General features: G+C 36.8%; 1 long non-coding RNA gene across 1 annotated transcript in view; it reads right to left on the minus strand.

Moving 5' to 3' along the window:
- Nucleotides 1-22969, minus strand: part of LOC105369673 (uncharacterized) — a 79767-nt gene that overhangs the window by 394 nt on the left and 56404 nt on the right. The window lies entirely within an intron of this gene.

The following is a 22969-nucleotide window of genomic DNA, read 5'->3' on the forward strand; positions in this document are numbered from 1 at the left end:
TTCATATCATTGAGTATATTTCTTAGCTTTGGGTTTAGTAAAACCTCTGCCTTCATGCAGCTTGTGCACTAGTAAGATTTCCACTTCTGTCATACTATTTATCACAGCTGGTTCATATCAGCATCATTTATATATGTCCACCTCTTTTATTGCCTGGGAGCTGTTTTCTCAATAGTGCCTCATTACTAAAGAGGGCCTTGCCTTGTGTTCAATGAATACATATGGAATTAAATAGATGAGCAAAAAAGAATATTGAGCATAATGTACAAATAAATTGATTTTATAGATTTAATGTTCCTTTCATCTTTGTGTATTTGGTCAACAATTATTTTCTTCATCTGTTTTATGCTGGAAGTCACACTGTTGTATACTTTCTAGCTAGAATAAGAGATAGGATAATGGAATTTCTCTTCTTTTGCATGAGAATGATTAGACGCTTATAAAAGAAAACGGTCAAGTCTACGATTTTTACAAAATAACATCATTTAGTCATCTTTTCTACTGTATTCTATTTCCTAATTTATCAAATGTTATGTGTCATGTGAGAAAATTTATTCAAGTACTACATACACAAACATCATCTTCCACAAACATGTCCTACTGTTAAATAAACATATCATTAATGAATCACAATGTTCAACTCATTAAAAGAAATTATAATTTTTTTAAAAGATAATTAATACTGGATGAGTTGAGGTAGAAATAATAGGTAATAATAATAGTAGTAGAATAATAGAAATAATAATGAATAAAAAATAATAGAAATATTTTATTTGATCCCAGGATACCTGATATCAAATGTACCATTTTAAGGAATCTTATATACTAGTCTTTTAAAAATGTAAACAATATTAACTAGATTCACAATAAAGAAGCTGATCTGCATAATTTTCATGTATTTGAAGCTCATGCAAATACAGAATGTAAAAACACCTATGATGTTTTGTTTCCTCATTCTAACCCCTAGAATGTGTGAATATGCTATATCACATAGCAAAGTCAGGCTAAGGTTGCTGATAAAATTATAGTTGCTAATCAGCTGACCTTAAAATAGAAAGTTTAGCCTGGCTTATTGAGGTGGGCCCAATGTAATCATGAGGATCTTTAAAAGTGGAAGAGAGAATCAGGAGAGAGCACCAGAGGTGGTAGCATGAGAAGAAGCTCAGCCTGACTTTGCTGGCTTTGCAGATGGAGAAAGAGGGCCAGGAGTGAAGAGGGCAGCCTCTAAAAACTGGAAAAGGCCAGAAAACAGATTCTTCCTAATAATTCTCAGAAAGAAACACTGCCCTGAGGGCACTTTGATTTTAGCCCAATATGTTAGTCCGTTATTGCACTGCTATAAAGAAATGCCTGAGACTAGGTAATTTATGAAAACAAGAGGTTTAAGTGGCTCATGTTTCTGCAGGCTGTACAGGAAGCGTAACAGCATCTGCTCCACTTCTGGGGAGGTCTCAGGAAACTAACAATGATGGTGGAAGGCGAAGGGGAAGCAGGCATGTCTCACATGGCTAGAGCAGGAGGAAGAGAGTTGCAGGGAGGTTCATGGAGGGGATGGTACCAACCCATTCATGAGAAACTGCCCCCATGATCCAATCACCTCCCACCAGGCTCCACCTCCAACACTGGAGATTGCAATCGAACATGAGATATTGATGAGGACACAGATCCAAACCATATCACCCAGTGAGACCCATGTCAAACTCCTAATCTAGAGAACTGCAAGTTAATACATCTGTGTTGTTTCTTTGCCACTAGATGTGTGGTAATGCGTTGTGGCAGTGATAGGAAATTAATTCATTCCTACACCCTTCTACTAAAGAATGATAGAAACTGTTGAAATTGCATTCCATTAGCTGTCAATATTGTTTATATTAAGTATTTAAATTAGGCTGCAAAAGTCAGGCAAGGAATAAACAATCCAGTCTTTTGATAGCAATACCAGAAGGATTTCATTAACTTGGGATTTCCTAACATCCAGTTAGTGATATATTGAGAAAGACCAAAGATCAAACCCCTATTATGGAATAAGAGTTATAGTCATTTATTTAGTATATATACATATACAAATTGTTCATATACAATATATAGTATATATGAGCAATTTACTTCATAACCTCACTCTTTCTATATATATGTGTGTGTGTGAACATATATATATTTATACATATATACATATATGCATTTTTTTCACATATATATTTTATACAGACGTGTGTGTACATATGTGTCTGCACACACACACACACGCACACATATATATATAAAATCCGGAACAAGTAAAAATATAAGATAGCAGACAAAATGTCTCAGTTAGTTACTGGCCAATCTGCATTTGGGTTTTTTCCTGTGCTTTAAAAGTGATATTGAATTTTCTCCAGATTTTCTATGCTGTTCTGATCCAGTTCGTGTTGCAACCCCATTTTCTTGTACCAAAACCTTTATCACGATTTGTAAAAGATTCTCAGTATGTAAAATTGTAATTGCTTCTAGATTTTGTCATCAATACTTTTATAAGGTTTCGCCTTCTCCAATAGACCTGAAAAATGCCAAGTTCTTACTTTGCCTGTTATCCCAGAGTGACTTTGCTTTTAGCTTTCTCAGTGCTTCAGCTCTGCATTGAGTTCTGATCTCTCTCCTAAGTCCTGTGTCTGTGTGCACTCAAAACAACATTGGTAGAGCCAAGTTAAATCCTCCAATATGATGTCAGGTCAGGAGCATAGCTTGAGACTTCTGTTTTCATCGTGGCTCTGCTACTTACTACCTATGTGACTTGGAACAAACTTTGGTGTCCTCCTTATTACTCCATTTCTCATCTATAGAATGGAAGATATTAATACACACCTAACAGAGTGGTTGTCAGGATTAGATGAGTATATATAACACTCATCTACACAAACATTTACCATATAAAATACCATTCCATGATAGTGAATGCTACCATGAAAGTTGTGCTAACCAGAACTAATATTATCAGGAAGTATAAGGAGGCTTAGCTTCTACATGTATAAATCTGAGTATTGATATGATATTGTCAAGACTCTCTTCCTCTCTTAGTTCTGCTTTTTATTTGCGCTGATCTTATTTTCAGGGTATCTGTTTGTGGTAGCAAAATGATTGGCAGTAGCTTCATCTTCTGAGCAACCACAGCAGGAGAAAAAAAAAAAAGGAGTATATCTTTAAAGGTGCTTCAATATAAATCCCAGAATTAGTTCTGATTGGCCCTAACGGAATCATGTGACTAGTCCCTAAACCAATCACCATGTTCAGAAGACTACAAGCCTCTTATTGGACAGTCTGGAAACAGAAGCAAAATAAAATTCGGGGAAATAGAAGTGAAAAAGCTGGCACAAATAACAAGCAAAAGCTTCCAGAAACATCATCCCGTTCAGCTGCATCCATCCTGTACAAAGGAGTCTGGTGAGGGGGCCCAAGCAGCTGCTGAAATCCAGCCAATTCCCCTCTTGTCCCACCTAACTGGGAGCCGAAGATCCTCAGGTGTCCTTTGTGCTAGGTGTGGCCCTGATCACATTCCCTTCCCCACTCCATGTCCCCAGGCCATGAGTAGGGCTAAGCTGAGAGAAGGAGAAAAGCTTTGAACTAAAGGGGAGATAAAAGTCTTATTTTTATTTGACGAGGCATTTTAATACCTAAAAATTACTAATTTTATATATACATAAAATATATATATACATATAAACGCATATATATAAAATATATGTATATATTACATATAACTAGTAATTTTATATAGTAATATATAACTACTATATATATAACTAGTTATATATATAAAAAATATATATATATATATATATTTTTTTTTTTTTGAGACGGAGTCTCGCTCTGTCACTCAGGCTGGAGTGCAGTGTCGTGATCTTGGCTCACTGCAAGCTCCGCCTCTCGGGTTCACGCCATTCTCCTGCCTCAGCCTCCCGAGTAGCTGGGACTACAGGCGCCCGCCACCACGCCCCGCTAATTTTTTGTATTTTTAGTAGAGACGGGGTTTCACTGTGTTAGCCAGGATGGTCTCGATCTCCTGACCTCGTGATCCACCCACCTCGGCCTCCCAAAGTGTTGGGATTACAGGTGTGAGCCACCGCGCCCGGCCGTAATATTCTTATAATACCTAAAAGGGACTGGAAAACTGTGGAATCACCAAGATACATTAAGGGATGAAGACAAATAAGACAGAGCAAACCCGAAGGTAGTAGTTGGAAGAAAAACATAAGACTGTGTTCAGGTTGTGCCTGTTAAGTCAGCTCATTCACTAAAGCTGGTTACTTGTGGGCATGATGGTCTCTTTACAGCATTGCAGAATTTAAAAATTTGTATAAAGAATATATTTATCACTAGGCACGCACCAGGAAACAAAGTTTCATTTCTCTGAAAAACTAACGGAGGCCGAGGAAGGAAGCCAATATTTATCGATGTGAACCATGAACTCAGCCCTGTATCTTCTTGATCCCCTGGAATGCTCCCAAAGATCCTGAGACATGTTATTGTTTCACATTTGAGGAAACTGAGTCTCAGAGATGATAAGTGATTTAACCCAATTCAAAGCAATGGTGTGGGGAGGGTCAAATTTAGTCCATTTTGATGAAAGCGTATTTAATTTCTCATCTCCCATTGTGTGAAAGTGAAAGCAGTTGTAAGATGGGCCCCATCTAAATCTCCACAGTCTCTGGGCACTTACTTGGGAACCCACACATTAGTCCCTCAAACTTTAATCTGCCGGGAGTCACCACACAGCTTTGACCTAGGTTAAAGTGAACTGAAACTGAAAAGGGTGTTGTGTAGTCCAGTTTCTAATCCAAACAGCTGAAGAACAGGGTGTGCGCCATAAATCACTGACCTTCACAACAGTGAACTTTTAATGTGGAGGCAGAGAATTTTTTTCATATTTGTGCAAAAAAAATTTAAGTTAAATTTTTGTGTTCAAATTCCATGCTTGTTCCTGGGGAAGGTGTGTATTCACTGGTGGAAACATTCTCCTTTTCTCTTTGCAGGAACTGCAAAGCCTACATACAAAGCCAAAAAATCTACTATCTAGCCCTTTTGTTTTAAAAAAAAAAAAAGAAAGAAATGCCAATCCCTGTCCTAGAGCACTGGTTGTTAAACTTGGTTGCACATTACCATCACCTGAGGAGCTTTTAAAATTCCAGATGCCCACACCACACACCAGACCAATTAATTCAGAACCTCACGGGGGTGGAACTAGGCGTCATTTTTAAAAGATCTCTGCTAAGTTGAGAACTCCAGAACAATGGTTTTCAAATATTGGTGCGCACAAGAATCACCTGACCTGACTGTCAAAAACGCAGTCCAGGGCCACATTTCCAGATTGTCTGATCTGATAGGACTGGCAGAGGCCCAGGAATCTACATCAGCACACCAGGGCTCATGACATAGGAGCCTCAGGACTTTATTTCAGAAGTAACCAAGGCATACGCCTTCTAATTTCATAAAACTTGCTTTATGAAAAGTTTCACATCAACTCAAGTGTTTACAGAACTATGATTTATAAGAATGAGTCATTACTACAAAGTACAACCTGTACCAGCAGTCCTACTCCTTACCATTAAAAATGATCCTGCACACAGAAAACATTTCACCCACATCCTATTTTACTTTACCTCTGAGTGTCATGACTGCAAAAAAGACAACGAGTTTCCCCAGAACAATTCATAGTCTCTATGATTGCCCTTAGGAGTTTGGTTTTTATTAGCATAGAAAGAAGGAATGAATAATTGTTAATAATTTGAAACATCTAGAAATACTTGTATTCCTCTGACTGTGCTTAGGGTTGCTTTAAAAACTAGCAGAACAAAAAGCTCATTTTTATTCAACTGCAATATTTAAAAATTAATAATAACTGAACTTTTAGGACAGCAGTGTCGGTGACCAAAATTTCTAATCAAATTATGATAAATGTGTACCAAACCCATTGTTTTTACAGGGTCTCTGTACTATCTGTGTAATGGCAGGGACCTTAAATCAGTAGTTCCCACATGACTTCAGTTTCTACATTTGCAGGACCTGTGTGTGGCAGTGGCTTTTCAGATTCCTCCTCCTTCTTTGGGCATTACTAGGATAAATGTAATTAAAGTAGTCAGTGAGATCCTCATTAAGCCTGCCTTTCACATCTACTGAGATCCTAGTGGAGTTTCATATAGGTCTTTCACAGTCTCATGGAGGAATCACCATCTTATCACTTATTTTCCTTTTTTTTTTTTTTTTTTTTTTTGACAGGATCTCACTCTGTCACTCACGCTGGAGTGCAGTAGTACAATCTCAGCTCACTGCAACCTCCCTCTCCTGGGTTCAAGCGATTCTCCTACCTCAGCCTTCTGAGTAGCTGGGACTACACCCAGCCAATTTTTGTATTTTTAGTACAGACAGGGTTTCACCACGTTGGCCAGGCTGTTCGGTCTTGAACTCCTGACCTCAAGTGATCCACCTGCCTCAGCCTCCCAAATTGCTAGGATTACACACCTGGCCTATTTTTCTTTCATTTACCCTCATGTCTACTAAAGGCTTGTTGGGATCCTGACTGATATCTGCGCAGTCAGGCAACGGGAGAAAAGTGAAGGAAAGCACACGTGAGATATTGATTGATTGGTTTTGCTTCCTAAAATTCAAAGACATCAAAATATCCAATAGAAAACCTAGCACATCCTTTCTAGTAGCAGTCATTTGGCTGCATGGATTAACAATCCAACCTTCCACCGGATGAAATAACTTTTGGGAAAAAATGAAAATTTTTTTTTTCCAGAAGAGAAGATGCTAAGCACCAAAGAGATGAGCTGGAAGGAAGGTCAGTTTTTCCCCAGTGCATGAAGAAGACTGATTCTAAAGCAAGGAATTCCTGGCAACTTGGCGGTTCTTCGCTCAGTGTCAGAATTTTAAAAACTAACAAATGTCATATTTCAGTTGGCCACAAGATGGCAGGATTTCGGCACATTCCCACAGATAATGGCCTCCTCTTCCCATCAGGATTAATGGATGGTAGTGATTTAAGCGTGACACTCTCTTCTCAAGAGACTTCATACTCTCATAAATGAAATACGAATATGGTTCAAGGACTTATGTTTTATAGTTTTAAAATACCAAGAGTCAGCGATTCACATAATATAACTGGCATCCACAAATGCTAAAGCTATGGAAAAGGTTCTAGTTTTGTTAATGGGCCTCTCATCTATCTCACTGGATGAGGCCTGGGAACCACCTGGACTCTGTTTTCCTTTGCTAAGCCTTTCTCAGAAGGAGCAAGTCTTGCTGCTACTGTGGACACACAGCTTCTGGGAGTTCCACAGGACCACGTGCGGAGAAAGGAAGGGAAGCAAACTTTGAAGGTGGAAATAAAGGAAAAGGTTGTGGGGGAAAAGAGAATGTTTTCACTTTGAGTTAAAAAAAAAAAAAGAGGGACAAAGAAGTGTCCAGTAGGGTACAGCCTGTCAGAAAACCCCAGACTGTGATACAGCTCTAACATATCCATTCATTCGTTCATTCATTTGTCCATCCGGTATTTATTAAGCAATTGTGTCTCAAGGAATGGAAAAAGGGGAAAAAATATTCTACCCTGAAAGAGCCAGTCCATTAGAACATTTCTTGAAAAGACTGAGAAAAAGAAAAATTCCATATGATAACTAGACTAAAACAAAAGAAAACTACAGAGCGATTGGAAAAGGAATTGGCAGAATTACAAACCATGTGAAGAATGAAGAGGGCGCCCTGCAGGGGTTATCAACAAGGAGTAATAGGGGGCCATGAGATCAGATAAAAAGTTAGAAACTGGGTGCTCCTGGGGAGTTGGGGGTTGAACATTTATTCGTAGGAAGGTTGGGACCCCATTTGGTGGGAGGAAGTTGGGACTGGAATTAGAAACAACAACAAAAAGTACTTGAGTTTCATCAGAGATTTCAGGACTGGCTCGTTGTATGACCTTGAGCGATTAGCTAAATCTTTCTAAGCTTCAATTCCTTCATCTGTAAAATGGATCCTGCAATAACTAACTAGGGGAGCTAATAAGGATGATAAAGGTGAAAACATAAGGGAGTGTGCCTGGAATAGAATTGTTCATTATATAATGTCAGTTGTTCTTCTTCCCTGTTGGACCATTTAAGAAAGTTAGCAAAAAATATACGGAGAGCAGGGCCCTCCGTGCTGAATAGCTAAACAGACACACTTTGATCCCAGAAGCCCAGCTCCTCCCCGGCACTCATACCTGCAGTAAAGGCAACGGTGATGGATTCCTGGCCTCAGAAATCCTGAGCTAGATTGATAGAGGCCCTATGCTGCATTCCACCAAGAGGCATGGAAACACACTGTTTGCCTTTTTATATAAACATATATACATGCTCCTCATGATAAGGAGAAAGAGAGAGAGACAGAGAGTTTAAACTATGAACCCTCTTTACACAGTACAATCCCATACTCCTGTTCATGTAACCACACAGCAGGCTGGGTTGTGGTCTCCTAGTTTTGACTGATGCGTGTGTGTGTGTGTCCGTGTGTGTGTGTCTGTGTCTGTGTATGTGTGTGTGTGTCTGTGCCTCTGTGTGTGTATATCCTCATATATGCATGTCCATGTACCTGTACCTGTAACTCAGATGCTGGCCATCTCCAGATGAACCCCATCTTTTCCCCTTTCCAACCTGGAAGCTGATGGTAGCATTTTTCTACACTCTACACAAAGGAAATTCACTCCACAGAGCATTAGGAGTGATGCAGAATTTGCTGAAGTCTTCTTCACCCTATGGCAATTCTTTTCTAAGTCTTCCTTCACCACCACCACCAGTTGGGAATTTGCTTCTCTTTGACCTTCCCTAACACTGCACCGAGCCTTGAACCTGCCCACTGCCCTCCTTTATAATACTGAGCCTCTGCCTCCTTCCCCTTGAACTTCAGCCCTCAGGCTGAGGCACTTTTCTGATGTACAAGGGTCTTTTCAAAGCTTCTTTTCAGCAAAGATGATCCCTTCCTAAAAATAATTTCTGTGCCAGTTATCATAAAGATTAATAATTTTCTCCACATTATAATGTCTATATGACTATAACCGCATACATTATTACATATAGAAATGTTTTTAACATGAAATGGAATCATATGATCATATCATGCATATTGTTTTCTGATTTTCAGTTGCTCCTCAATTATATATTTTGTGTATCTTTCCAACTTATTAGAAATAAGTCAAACTCATTTTTTTAAATTACTGAATAAAATTAGTACTTTAATGTGAGACAAGGTCAATTTCTTTGTGCTGCAATTTTGTTATTGACAAGATAGAACATAATAACACAGAGTTATAATGAGAATTCCTCAGCTACAATATTAGAGACCTTCAGTTGCTTAGAAGAAGTGAGATACTTAAATAATAAAAATTACATTAGCTATATAAATAATGCTAATAAAAGTTGCTAATATTTCATCAGCATTTTTCTATGTGCCAGGACCTATTCATACTCATTTATATGCAACAACTCATTTAATCCTCATAGCAACCCTATGAAGGAGATACTATTATTATTCCCATTTTATAGATGATCTTTCTGAGTCATGGGAAAGTCAGTAAATTGCTCAAGGCAACATAGCCAATAAGTGACATTGCCAAAATGCGTGAGTCTGGCTCTAGAGTCTGTGTTGTTAATCACTAAACCATCTATCATCATCTCCAACAGGAAATACTTTGTACAGGCTTGCTTGCCAGGGACCTGAACTGGCTGTCGTTGACCAAATTTAATAAACGTGCTCACTGCAAGTGGCGCTCCAGCTGATCCTGGCTTGGGGCTCTCTGCACTGCTCCAAATCAGGCAGCCAGGCCAAAAGAAGATATGTAGAGTCCATGGGGAACAAAGCGAGGCAAGGTCTGCTGAGCAAGGCATGGCTTAGAGGGAAAAGTGGGGTTGTGGGGAGAAGCTACAAGGAGACAGAATAAAATAATGAAGAGGAGTGCTGCCAGGCACCTGGCCCAGCTGAGGAAGCCTCTGAGGTGCGCATGCCAAATCTCAGCAGCTCCAAGCCCAGCTCCCAGAATAGCTGGAAGGAGGCACACTGCCAGCGAGCCACTTATTACAGCCAGAGCTGGGAGCACTTAATCAGATGCATCCGGTTTGTGTTCACAAGATATTAGGCGGAAATATGTGGTCAACTGCAATGAATTGGCATGCCCTGTAGTGGGCCAGCCATTGCCGGAAGCCATGTCTCCCACAAATTGAAACCTAATCTTTCTCTCCTCTAAGTGCCTGCCACAACTAACTGATTATGTACATTTAATCTCTGTCTGATATACTATCTAAGGAAGAGGAAATATTTCTTTTTTGTGATGGCTCTATGGAATTGAGAGTGCATAAAGCTAGTAGGACCACATACATGGAACACCCAGGGCAGGTATCCATCAGATAAGGCCAGTCTCCGACCTCCAGCAGGTTACTACACAGTGAATGTCACCTGATGCATCAGGCCCAGGAAGGCTGGCATAGAAAACGTGAAAACATCATGGAGAGGGTTAAGATGACCCTAAGGATTGCTGCCAGGAATTCCCACAAATGACATATCATTGTTGCTAGTTGGCTCCAAAGTCCTCCTGAATTAAGAGCTAACAGTTGGCGATCTCAGTGTATTTGGGGTGTTTACTATTCTTTTGAGTATTTTTTTTCTCCTAAAATTGCATTGCAGACACTCCTGGTGTCCTGTCCAGATTCCCTTACCAGGCCAGTGCACTCATCAACCAGTCGCTGTGACTGTTCCAGAGGATTGCCACCTTACCAGGACATGACTGGAAAAATTGTACTAATCCCACAAGTGTCCTATGGCCTGTGGCAGACTGAAGTGAGGTTACAACAGTTCAGCCACCTCACCCATGGGCAACGCAAACTTTTTATTGCATTTAAACATCAAAATTCCTTGGGGGATCAGTCTGAAGCTAATATTCTCCTAAAACCTTGATTTACCTAGCTTATCTTGCCCTATCTTGCTTCCCTTCCTCCCCTATAGCTTTGTCCTGAAAGTGTTCCCTCAGTAATTCACCTGGACAAAAATCCCTGCCTCAGGCTCTGCTTCTCAGAACCCTGGCCTAAAACAGCATGTAAAATCCTTGTCAGCAAAGACCTTATAGTAAACACACGCCACCAGAGCAATACAATGCAGTTTCCCCAATCTCAGCTATTCATACACACTGCCTACATTATTTTCCCATATTTGCATATTGCTTATACAGCTATTTACCTAACAGTTGTTTGTAAGTAGTTTTCAAACTAACTCCTTTTTCAAAAAACTAGCCTTACCCTAAAAAAATCATAATTCTGCAACCCTGATTTTGAGGCACTAATGAGATTTACCAATTACACAGTGAAATAATGTGTGTATATACATTTACATATGGGCATTAATCTATGTATAACTTAAAATTATTCCATCTTTCACCATGAATTATATGTACATGAACCACATCTTTAAAAACATCATAAAATGAAAAGCATGGTTTGTAAAATCTGTTATTCTACTTTATAGTACTGCTACAGAGCTATCTCATATTGAAGGTAGAATAAATTCTTGCTGATGTTTCTAAATTCAATAAATACTTTTAAATTTTCTCTTAGCCCATGATCTTGCCAATAGTTCTAAGGGGGATGAGTGAAACATGACGTAAAAAGAGGAAAGAAGTATCAATTTTTTAAAATAAAGAAATAATTAAAAAATCCTTAGCATTCTATCTTCAGTGCTTAGATTTTTCTGGGATCATCTGCTAATCTGCTCCTGTCACACAGGAACACTTTACTCAATGATTGAATTGACAGTGACTTGCAAGGAAAGAGGAGCTTCCAGAAACTTGAATTTCCTATTGCAAGGATGATTATCTGACATCATGAAACTCAGATACTCCTTTCAGAAAAGGAAGAGCCATTGGCAGCCATTATGGCAGGTTTTGGACCATACAGGAATGCTTGACATTGCACATTTTCCTCCAAGTTGTAGCAATGAGTTAAACCGCATGACCCTCACAAAGAGTATTTCAATGTGGAAGGTAAAAAGCCAACTGTCAACAAAATACTTTAGAGTCAGGATTTTGATTCTCATCTCCAGCGTAATGTCTTTTCTGATCCATTCATCCTTCATACATTCTTTTGGGAACAATCTAGTACTGAGGAAGTAGAAGCCTAAAGACCACAGTATCTTGAAATACATGCTTTGCACAGTTGCAAAGGTTGCCAAAATCATACATTTCAAACCTGACAGGACAAGTTTAAAATTAGACACTACAGAAACATTGCACCTCTAAATCAGGGAAATGAGTGCAAGCTTGGTATTAAAAAAACCTACTTAACTGTCATAAAATTCTTTCCAAAACTAAAACCTGTTCTTTAGAAAGTAATTCTTCATGTTTTTATCCACCTGGACATGCTTCATTGAATGACAAGATCTGCTGACAGCAGAACTTCAGCTCCATTAATGTATCGATTAATATATCTGTGCATAGAATTTCCTGGTACTGGGTATAGGATTTCTCTGATGCAGGAAAGTACATCAATTTGGTCTTATTCTTTAACTGGCAAGGAGTTTTCTTTTACAAGAGATTTGGTTATATATTCCAGTAGTAGTTACATGAGTTTAATTTTTTTAAGTGCAATCCCTATATGTCCCTTCATTCTCAGAAGGTTTTCTTCTTAAAGGCTCGTTATTGTGACAGTAGTTGCCTGAGTGATCTGTCTGCTTCCATTACTCAATAGCTATAGCCTTAGGAGTCTAATTCTGTCCTTTCTTGTAGCTCTCTAATTTAGCTGAGTGTATCAACAAGAGACATTATACCTTAAAGCCAAGCCAATCCTCTCTCCATGGTGGAATGTGGACCAAAATATAAGAACTTTTAATTATATATTTTAAATTTAAAAAATAAGAAAGTAAGCTTTTCTAACACATCATATATGGATTTATACTGGTGTCCTAATGTATTCATATGGAAAAGAAGCAAGTGTCACATATGGTCACCAAGGCATGCTGGGAGAAAGGCAGAAATTCTAAGTATAGAGGAGGGGTCAGTGCTGGCTTCATGCCATAGACTTCATGCCATCTTGCAAAAAACATGGACTAAACATAATACCAATAATTCACAGACAAAGAAAAATTGGCAGAAACTTCCATTTCTAATTTGATCTCTTTATAAGCACATCAAAAGGTTGAAAACAATGAGGATGTAATTAGATAAGACAGGAAGTAAGCCAAAATGATTTGAAATTATCCAGGCTGTTTGAATCTCATGCTAGGTGTGTTTGCTGCTTTGAAATGTTTGCAAATGATAATGTGGAGCCATCATGATTAGTGAGACGTTTGGGATCTGAGCATCCAGAGAACGCACACAAACATTTACAATTTTTTTCCAGTGATGTTTCAAGCTGCATTAAGCCCAATTTGCTGACCTGTTCAGGGAGAACTAGTGATTTTCAGTAATGTGCTACCCAGAAGATATATTTCTCAAAATAAATATATAATCTATTCCTTCAAGGTAAAGGTGAGTTTTTTTTAACAAAGAGTGAGAACCTACCTGTTTTTTTTTTGTTTTTTTTTTATTATACTTTAAGTTTTAGGGTACATGTGCACATTGTGCAGGTTAGTTACATATGTATACATGTGCCATGCTGGTGCGCTGCACCCACTAACTCGTCATCTAGCATTAGGTATATCTCCCAATGCTATCCCTCCCCCCTCCCCCCACCCCACCACAGTCCCCAGAGTGTGATATTCCCCTTCCTGTGTCCATGTGATCTCATTGTTCAATTCCCACCTATGAGTGAGAATATGCAGTGTTTGGTTTTTTGTTCTTGCGATAGTTTACTGAGAACGATGATTTCCAATTTCATCCATGTCCCTACAAAGGACATGAACTCATCATTTTTTATGGCTGCATAGTATTCCATGGTGTATATGTGCCACATTTTCTTAATCCAGTCTATCATTGTTGGACATCTGGGTTGGTTCCAAGTCTTTGCTATTGTGAATAATGCCGCAACAAACATACGTGTGCATGTGTCTTTATAGCAGCATGATTTATAGTCATTTGGGTATATACCCAGTAATGGGATGGCTGGGTCAAATGGTATTTCTAGTTCTAGATCCCTGAGGAATCGCCACACTGACTTCCACAATGGTTGAACTAGTTTACAGTCCCACCAACAGTGTAAAAGTGTTCCTATTTCTCCACATCCTCTCCAGCACCTGTTGTTTCCTGACTTTTTTAATGATTGCCATTCTAACTGGTGTGAGATGGTATGTAGAAAGCTGAAACTGGATCCCTTCCTTACACCTTATACAAAAATCAATTCAAGATGGATTAAAGATTTAAACGTTAGACCTAAAACCATAAAAACCCTAGAAGAAAACCTAGGCATTACCATTCAGGACATAGGCATGGGCAAGGACTTCATGTCCAAAACACCAAAAGCAATGGCAACAAAAGACAAAACTGACAAATGGGATCTAATTAAACTAAAGAGCTTCTGCACAGCAAAAGAAACTACCATCAGAGTGAACAGGCAACCTGCAAATTGGGAGAAAATTTTCGCAACCTACTCATCTGACAAAGGGCTAATATCCAGAATCTACAATGAACTCAAACAAATTTACAAGAAAAAAACAAACAACCCCATCAAAAAGTGGGTGAAGGACATGAACAGACACTTCTCAAAAGAAGACATTTATGCAGCCAAAAAACACATGAAAAAATGCTCATCATCACTGGCCATCAGAGAAATGCAAATCAGAACCTACCTGTTTTTAAAGGGACTTGTCATGCAAAATATATTTGAGAACTGCTATCAGCTAATGTTTGGATCACTATGTGATTTTGTTGCTGAAAATCATGTCACTTACGAAAACTCTCATATCTGCATGCTTAAAAATACAGCCATAAATTTATTATTTAACCTATATCAAAAATATCCCAAATAGTTTTGATGGATTTTGAATATTTTTAAAAATAGAAATACAACATATTACTACTTATTTTCAAGAGTGATCAACATCAGGGAAAATAGAAATACAATAACTGAATTTTAACGAAAACCTTTGTGTAATTGATGGGTGGAATATAAAAATCAGTATCATAATACAATAAGCATAGACAACTCTGTACTTCATTTATTTAGTTCTCTAAATATTTGAGGATATTTTAAAAGATATGATAGCCATTACAATCAATTTCTAAAATGAACAGAAATGAGAAACTTCCACTTCTTCCAAAAATGGACTAATGGAAAACAGATTTACCATCCTACTTGAAATGGGGGGAAAAACCAGAGAAAATAAATAAAACCAAGATTTTCATGACATTGGACATCAGGCAACAAAAAACAGTGATCCATGACAAATGGGAAACAAATAAGATAAGCCTCAGTGGATTCCAGCTTACTGCCTTCAGAGAAATTCCAGGCAGCAACTTAAGGAGGGGAAACATGGACAGAGTCAAGTGAACTCCCTGAATTGAGGGAATAAGCTGAGAGTCCATAAAATCCAAGGTGGCTAGACTTTGCAAAGCAGAGTAGCAGAAAAGAGAAAGCTACAAAGTGAGAGGACCCCAAAGACCTGCAGAGGATACATCCTCAAGCGATAAGTAGAATGCTCATTAGTGCATGTATGTGAGGAAATTACCCAGTTCCAGGGAAGAACCACCTGAAAGGATTAGAGAGAACAACAGCCAGTGCTCATACAGGACTGGGAACAGTGCTAGTTTCCACCAGCCAGCCTGGAAAACTTCATAAATACCAGTGCATTTGTTAGAGGACTCAAAAAGAGTCTTGCCTCAGGAAGGTGAATAATTAGTGTGCTCAGGTTCCACCTGCCAAATCAAAAACTGTCTCAACAGGATGAGCTGTTTTGCACTAACTTAACTGTATCACAGAACTAAATTCAAGAATATATGTCACAACACAAAATATACACTACCCAATAATGTAAAGTTTATCATTTCTGATGCCCATTCAAAAATTACTTAACACCTAAAGAAGCAGGTTGCAATCCATGCAAAAGACAAAAATCAATTTAGTGAAGCTGATCCAGAACCGTCAGAAGTTTTAGTTAGCAGACAACATCTAACATTTATTATAACTGTATTCCATATGTTGAAAAGTTAAGTAGAAACATGAAAGATACTTTTTAAAAGACCCAAGTAAAGTCCTTGGAAATGGAAGCAATAATACCCATAGTGAAAACTAAACTAGATAGGAGAAACAACAGATTAGATATTGCTGAAAAAATATTACTGAATTTAAAGACATAGTAATAGAAACTTCCTGAAATGAAACAGATTAGAAAAGGAAAAAAGCATCACTGCTCTGTGGAACAATTTCAAGAAGCCTAATAGTCATGTAATTGGAGTCCTCAAAGGAGATGGGAGGGAGGAGAAGAAATATAAGATGAAATATGGATAAGTTTTTCTTCCAAATCTGAAGAAATATATAATATAAATGCACGGATCCAATAATCTCAATAAATACTAAGTATATGTTGAGAGATATGAAGAAAATCACACCAAAATACATCATGTGCAAACTGCTCAAAACCAATGATAAATAGAAAATTCTAAAAGCAGCCTGAGAAGTGAGACATGTTAGGTACAAAACAACAAGAATCAGCATAATGGTAGATTTCTCATTAGAAACAATTAAGTGAGAAATAAATGGAGTGAAATCTTTAAAGTACTGAAAGAAAAATACTACCAGCCAAATTTTATACCCAGATAAAATATATTTGAAAATGAAGACAAAATAAAGACTTTTTAACACATAAAAATTTAAAGAATTTATCTACAACTACTTAAACTTTAATAAATATTCAAGAAAGTCCTTTAGGAAGAATTAAAATTACAGCAGATGGAAATGTGGGTCTACACAAAGATACGAAGAGCACTGGAAATGGTACCTATGCAGGGAAATCTATAAGATTGTTTCCTTATTATTTACATGTCCTTAAAGAGTAATAGACTATTTAAACAAAAATAATTACAATGTACTGGTAATAAAATATGTACAAATAAAATATGTAACACAAGGATGGGAAAAGAAAAATGAAAGTATACTGCTACTATAAGTTTCTTATACTATACATGAAGTAGTATGATGTTATCAGAAAAAAGGACTGTGATAAGATAAAGATGTATACTATAAACCTTAAACCAACCAGTAAAGTAATACAAAAAGAATTATAGCTAATAAGTCAAAAAGTAGATAAACTCAAATTATAGAAATTTATGATTTATCCAAAGGAAGATAAGAAAGGGATAAAATGGAAACAAAGAACAGATAAACCAAAGATAAAATAAGATCATACATTTAAACCCAACCATATTAATAATCTTATTAAATTGGATTTATGTAAATACCCATTAAAATGTGAAGATTGACAGGTTTGATAAAAAAAAAAGCAAAACCTATCTGTATGTTTTCTGTGAGAAACACTTCAAAAATAAAGACAGAGTAGGTTAAAAGTAAAAGGATAGGAAAAGATATACCATGCGTACACTAATCCAAAGAGATGGGCATGGCTATGCTAGTATCAGGCAGAATATGTTTCAGAGCAAATATTAACATGGATAGAGTCATTTCACAATTGTAAAAAGCTCAATCTACCCAGAGAACATAACAATCCTAAGTTTTTGTATCCCTAATAACAGAGCTTTGTATACATGAAAAAAGATTGATAAAATTGTTAGGAGAAATAGACATATCTATAATTATTGTTTGAGACGTCAACACCACTTTCTCAATAGCTACTAGAACTATAGACAACATAAGTATATAGAAGACTTGAATAACACTACCAACCAACTTGACCTATTTGACGTCTATATGATATTCCACCTAACAGCAACAGAATACACTTTATTTTCAAGTGCACAAGGAATATTTACTACAATAGACCATATTTTGGGCCTAACCTTTGATAAAGTTAAAAAGATTTAGGTCAGAAAAAATACTTTCTCTGGGCACAATGACTTAAATAAAAAAACTAATAACAGAACAGGAAGATCTCTGGAAAAGTACTCAAATGTTTGTAAATAAGCCCATGGATCAAGAAAAAAATCAAAGGCAGAAATTATAAAGTATTTTGAGCTAAACATAAATGAAAACACAATATACCAACATTCATGAGATGCACCTAAATCAGTGATTCTCGGCTTGGGTAATTTTGCCCACTTGCTTTCAGGGGACATTTAGTAATGTCTATAGACATTTTGATTGTCATAATGGTGGGGAAGAGGAGAGATGCTACTGGCATCTAGTAGGAAGGAATCAGAGATTCTGCTAAACCTCCTACAATGCACAGGATAGCTCCCCATAATAAAGCAGTATCTAGCCCCAAAATGTCAATAGTACCTCTATCGAGAAATCTTGATCTCAACCAATAACAAGGGAAAACTTTATAGCACTAAACACCTATATTTAAAAAGAACAAAAACCAAATAAATGAACTCAGCTCCTGCTTTAAGAAACTAAAAGATCAAATTAAACCCAAAGCAAAAGAAAAGAAATAATAAAGGCTTGAGCAGAAATCAATTTTTTAAATGGAAAAACAATAGGTAAAATCAATAAAACCTAAAGTTGGTTTATTCTGAAGATCAACAATATTTATAAACATCTAGCCAAACCGATCAGGAAAAAGAAGAAGACACAAATTATCATATCAGAAATAAAAGAGAAATTAAAATAATAATAAGTTCATTCAAGGAAAAATAGATACCTTGCATAGACCTATACCTATAAAAGAGATTAGAATTTTAATTACAAGGCTTCCAAATAAGAAAATTATAGGCCTGGATGGCTTCACTGGTAGATTCATGCAAACATTTAAGAAAGATATAATACCAATTCTATACAAACTCCTTCAGAATATAAATGGAACTTCATCGCAAATTGTGCTATAACAAAGTTACTCTGATACCATAACCACACAATGACATTACAAGAAAATAAACTATATTACAATATCCTTCAGGAGCATAGGTGCAAAAAAATCCAAAAATTATTTTTTAAATTCTTAACAGTGTTTATGTATTGGAAGAGTCAATATTGTCAAGATTTCAATCCTTTCCCAAGTTAATTTACAGATTCAAGGCAGTCTCAATCAAACTGCAGCAGGCTTTTATAGAAATTAACAAGCTGATTCTCAAGTTCATAGGAAAATGGGGGAGACTTAGAACAGCAAAGCAACCTTTAAAAAGAACAAAGTTGGAGGACTAGTACTACCAGTTTTCAAAACTTGTAAAGCTGCAGTAATCAAGATAGCATATTATTAACCTCAAAATTGACAAATAGATTTGTGGGACCTGTACAAAGTTCAGAAATAAACTCATGCATATAAGGACAACTTATTTTTCACAAAAGTGCAAAAGCAATTTATTGGACAAAGTTTTTTTTTCAGAAAATAATGCTGAAAAAATGTTCCTATTTTTTAAAAACAGAACGTTAATCCATACTTTATATACAAAAATTAACTCAAAATGGATCACAGACTAACTGCTGGAAGAAAACATGTGAGAAAATCTTTTTGACCTAGGGTAAGGCAAAGATTTTTTTGATTCAACACCAAAAACATGATTCAAAGATTTAAAAAAATGACAACTTGAACTACATTAAAATAAACACTTTCTATTATTTGAAAGACACTGTTAAGAGAATGAACAAAAAGAAATAGAGTGGATTAAAATATTTGCAAATTGCATAGGATAAAGAAATTTTATCTAAATATATAAATAACTCTTGGAACAAATAATAAGAAAATTAACAACTTAAACAAAAAAGGGGGAAAAGGTTTGAACAGACAGTTTACCAAATAAGATAAATGGATGGCAAATAAATACCTATGGTAAAATTAAATTTATAATTTAGGTACAGTAAGAGGTTAGCAATAATAAATAATAAAGTGAAAATTATAATACATTGTAATAAAAATTGTTACTGTCATATCTCAATCTCTCTCTCTGTCACACACATACACACACACACACACACACACACACACACACAACATCTTATTATACAGTACTCATCTATTTTTGGACTGTGGTTGACTGTGGGTAACTGAAGCCACAGAAGGCAAAACCACAATAAGAGGTAACTACTGTATATTTCTTTCCTAATCATTCTGGTTCTGCAGAAATAGCTATAGAATAGGTCTCAGTCTCATTAGACCAACTGTGAGATAGATTTGGCCAAGGTCAATCTGTTCCATTAGATCTTGTCCTTCATAAACTTCCACTCTGATAATCGTACTGATGTGTCATTATGAGTCTCCAAGTATTAATGTCTATCCAGTCAGTATCTAATAATTCCTGGGAGCCCTGGACATTTTCCTGTTCCCATTTTACAGCTGCTCTAGTTAATGGCCATAGGTCTCTTTAGGGAAGGCTTGGGACTGGCTGTAAAACGTGTTCTCCACTTTATTTGAGAAATTTAAAGCTTGTGAACTGAGGAGTGAAAACTAGCTGAGAAGCTGTAAACCCTTTCTGAAGGCTCATTAAAATTAAAATCTTAATTTTAACATTTTCTGATGTAGTGAGTCAAAGTCTAGGTTTAAATTTAGTTTTGTTTAAATATTTCTTTTTATTCTCAGTACTTGGGTGATGGGTACTGAGAATAAACTCCAAAGTTTGGAGTCAGCATCATGTAATATATTCAGGTAACAAACTTGTATATATATCCCCTGAATCTAAAATAAAAGTTGAAAAAGAAAAATAATAATAATAAATTAAAAGATGGAAATGTTTCAAATATATTTATTGGAGTACAGTTAATATGCATAAAGTGTGCATATTTAAAATGCACAGTGTAATATTTTGACAAATGTACATACCCATGAAACCATCACTATAATCAAGATAATGAAAATACACATCATATTTTAAAGTTACCATGTATCCCTTTGTAAACGCTCATTCCGGTCCCTCCTGCTTAATACTAAGGCAACCACTGATCTACTTTCCGTTATTATACGTTTGTTTGCGTTTTCTAGAATTTTCTATAAATGGAATCATACAGTACATACCATTTTGTGTATAGTTTCTTTCAGTCAGCATAATCATTTTAAGATTCATTCACGTTATTGCTTCTATCAATAGTTCAATGCTAAATAGAATTCCACTACATAAATATGCCATGATTTGTTTATCCATTCACCTGTTGATGAATATTTCGATTGATTCCAGTTTGTGGGCTATTACAAATTAAACTGATATGAACATTCATGTACAAGTTTTTGAATGGACATATACCTTCATTTCTCTTGAGTGAAAACAATAGGGACATGTTCTAAGAAATGCATCATTATGTGATTTTGTAGTTTTGTGAACACCACAAAGTACTTACAGAAACCTAGATAATATAGCCTACTACACACCTAGGCTATGTAGTATAGCCTATTGCTCGTAGACTGCAAACCTGTACAGCTTGTCACTGTACTGAATATTGTAGGCAACTGTATCACAATGGTATTTGTGTATCAAAATACATCTAAACATAGAAAAGGTACAGTAAAAATATGGTACAAAATACAAAAATGGAGGCTGGGCGAGGTGGCTCACACCTGTAATTCCAACACTTTGAGAGGCCCAGGTAGGCGGATCATTTGAGGTCAGGAGTTCAAGACCAGCCTGGCCAACATGGTGAAACCCTGTCTCTACCAAAAATACAAAAAAAAAAAAAAAAAGGAGCCAGGCATGGTGGCGTGCACCTGTAATCCTGACTACTTGGGAGGCTGAGGCATGAGAATAACTTGAACCCAGGAGGCAGAGGTTGCAGTGAGCCGAGATCATGCTACTGCACTCCAGCCTGGGTGACAGACTGAGACCCTGTCTCAAAAAATCTATCTATATATAAATGGTACCCCTGTATAGGGCACTTACTATAAATGAAGGTTTCAGGACTGAAAGTTGCTCAGGATGAGCAAGTGAGAGAGTGGTGAGTGAATGTGAAGGCCTAGGACATTATTGTACAATAATGTAGACTTGATAAACACTGGACACTTAACCTACATTAAATTTATGAAAAAATTTTCTTCAATAATAAATTATCCTTAGTTACTGCAATGTTTTCTACTTTATATACTTTTTAAATTTTAACTTTTGACTCTTGTAATAATATTTAGCTTAAAACACAAACACATTGTACAACTATAAAAAATATTTTCTTCCTCTATATGCTTTTTCTATACAGTTTTTTCTGTATTTAATTTTTTATTGTTGTTGAAAATTCAGACTCAAGTACACATATTAGCCTAAGCCCACACAGGGTCAGGATCATCATCACTGTCTTCTAACTCCACATCTTGTCCCATTGGAAGGTCCTCAGGGGCAACAGCACTCATGGACTGTCATTTCCTATGACAGCAATGCCTCCCAGACGAATACTCCTGAAGGAACTGCCTGAGGCTGTTTTACAATTAACTTCAGTTTTTAATAAGGAGAAGGAATACACTCTAAAGTAGCAATAAAAAGTACAGTGTAGCAAATACCAGGCGGTAGGAAATTTGCAATGTAGCTGACCATTACAGTCCTATAGGACTGCGTCATATATGTGGTCCCTCATTAACCAAAATATTGTCATGCAGAACATGACTGTATATGGGGTTTGGAACTATCCATGGTTTCAGGTATATAGTGTGGGCCTTGGAAGGTATCCTCCACAGTAAGGGGTCAGTGGGGGCGAGTAGCTATTGTCATTGGTAAAAGACAGAAACTTTAGGTTGGTTCCCTGATTCATTGCTATTATGATATGAATGATCAAGTGAAAGTTCCTCCAATCAAACCCCTGTCCAACCCCTTCACCAAAGCAGTAAGTCAAAACCAACACCATGTCCTTAGCTGTATTAAAGAGATCAGTGCTACCATCTAAGAACTGAACATCTCTGGGTAGAGTTTTTACCATTTAACTTGCCCATTTGGCTGGTGCAGAGGCCAACACGTTCTGGGAGAATGACAGTGGGT

The sequence above is a fragment of the Homo sapiens genome, chromosome 12 (genome assembly GCF_000001405.40).
Source record: "Homo sapiens chromosome 12, GRCh38.p14 Primary Assembly".
Classification (NCBI taxonomy): Eukaryota; Metazoa; Chordata; class Mammalia; order Primates; family Hominidae; genus Homo; species Homo sapiens.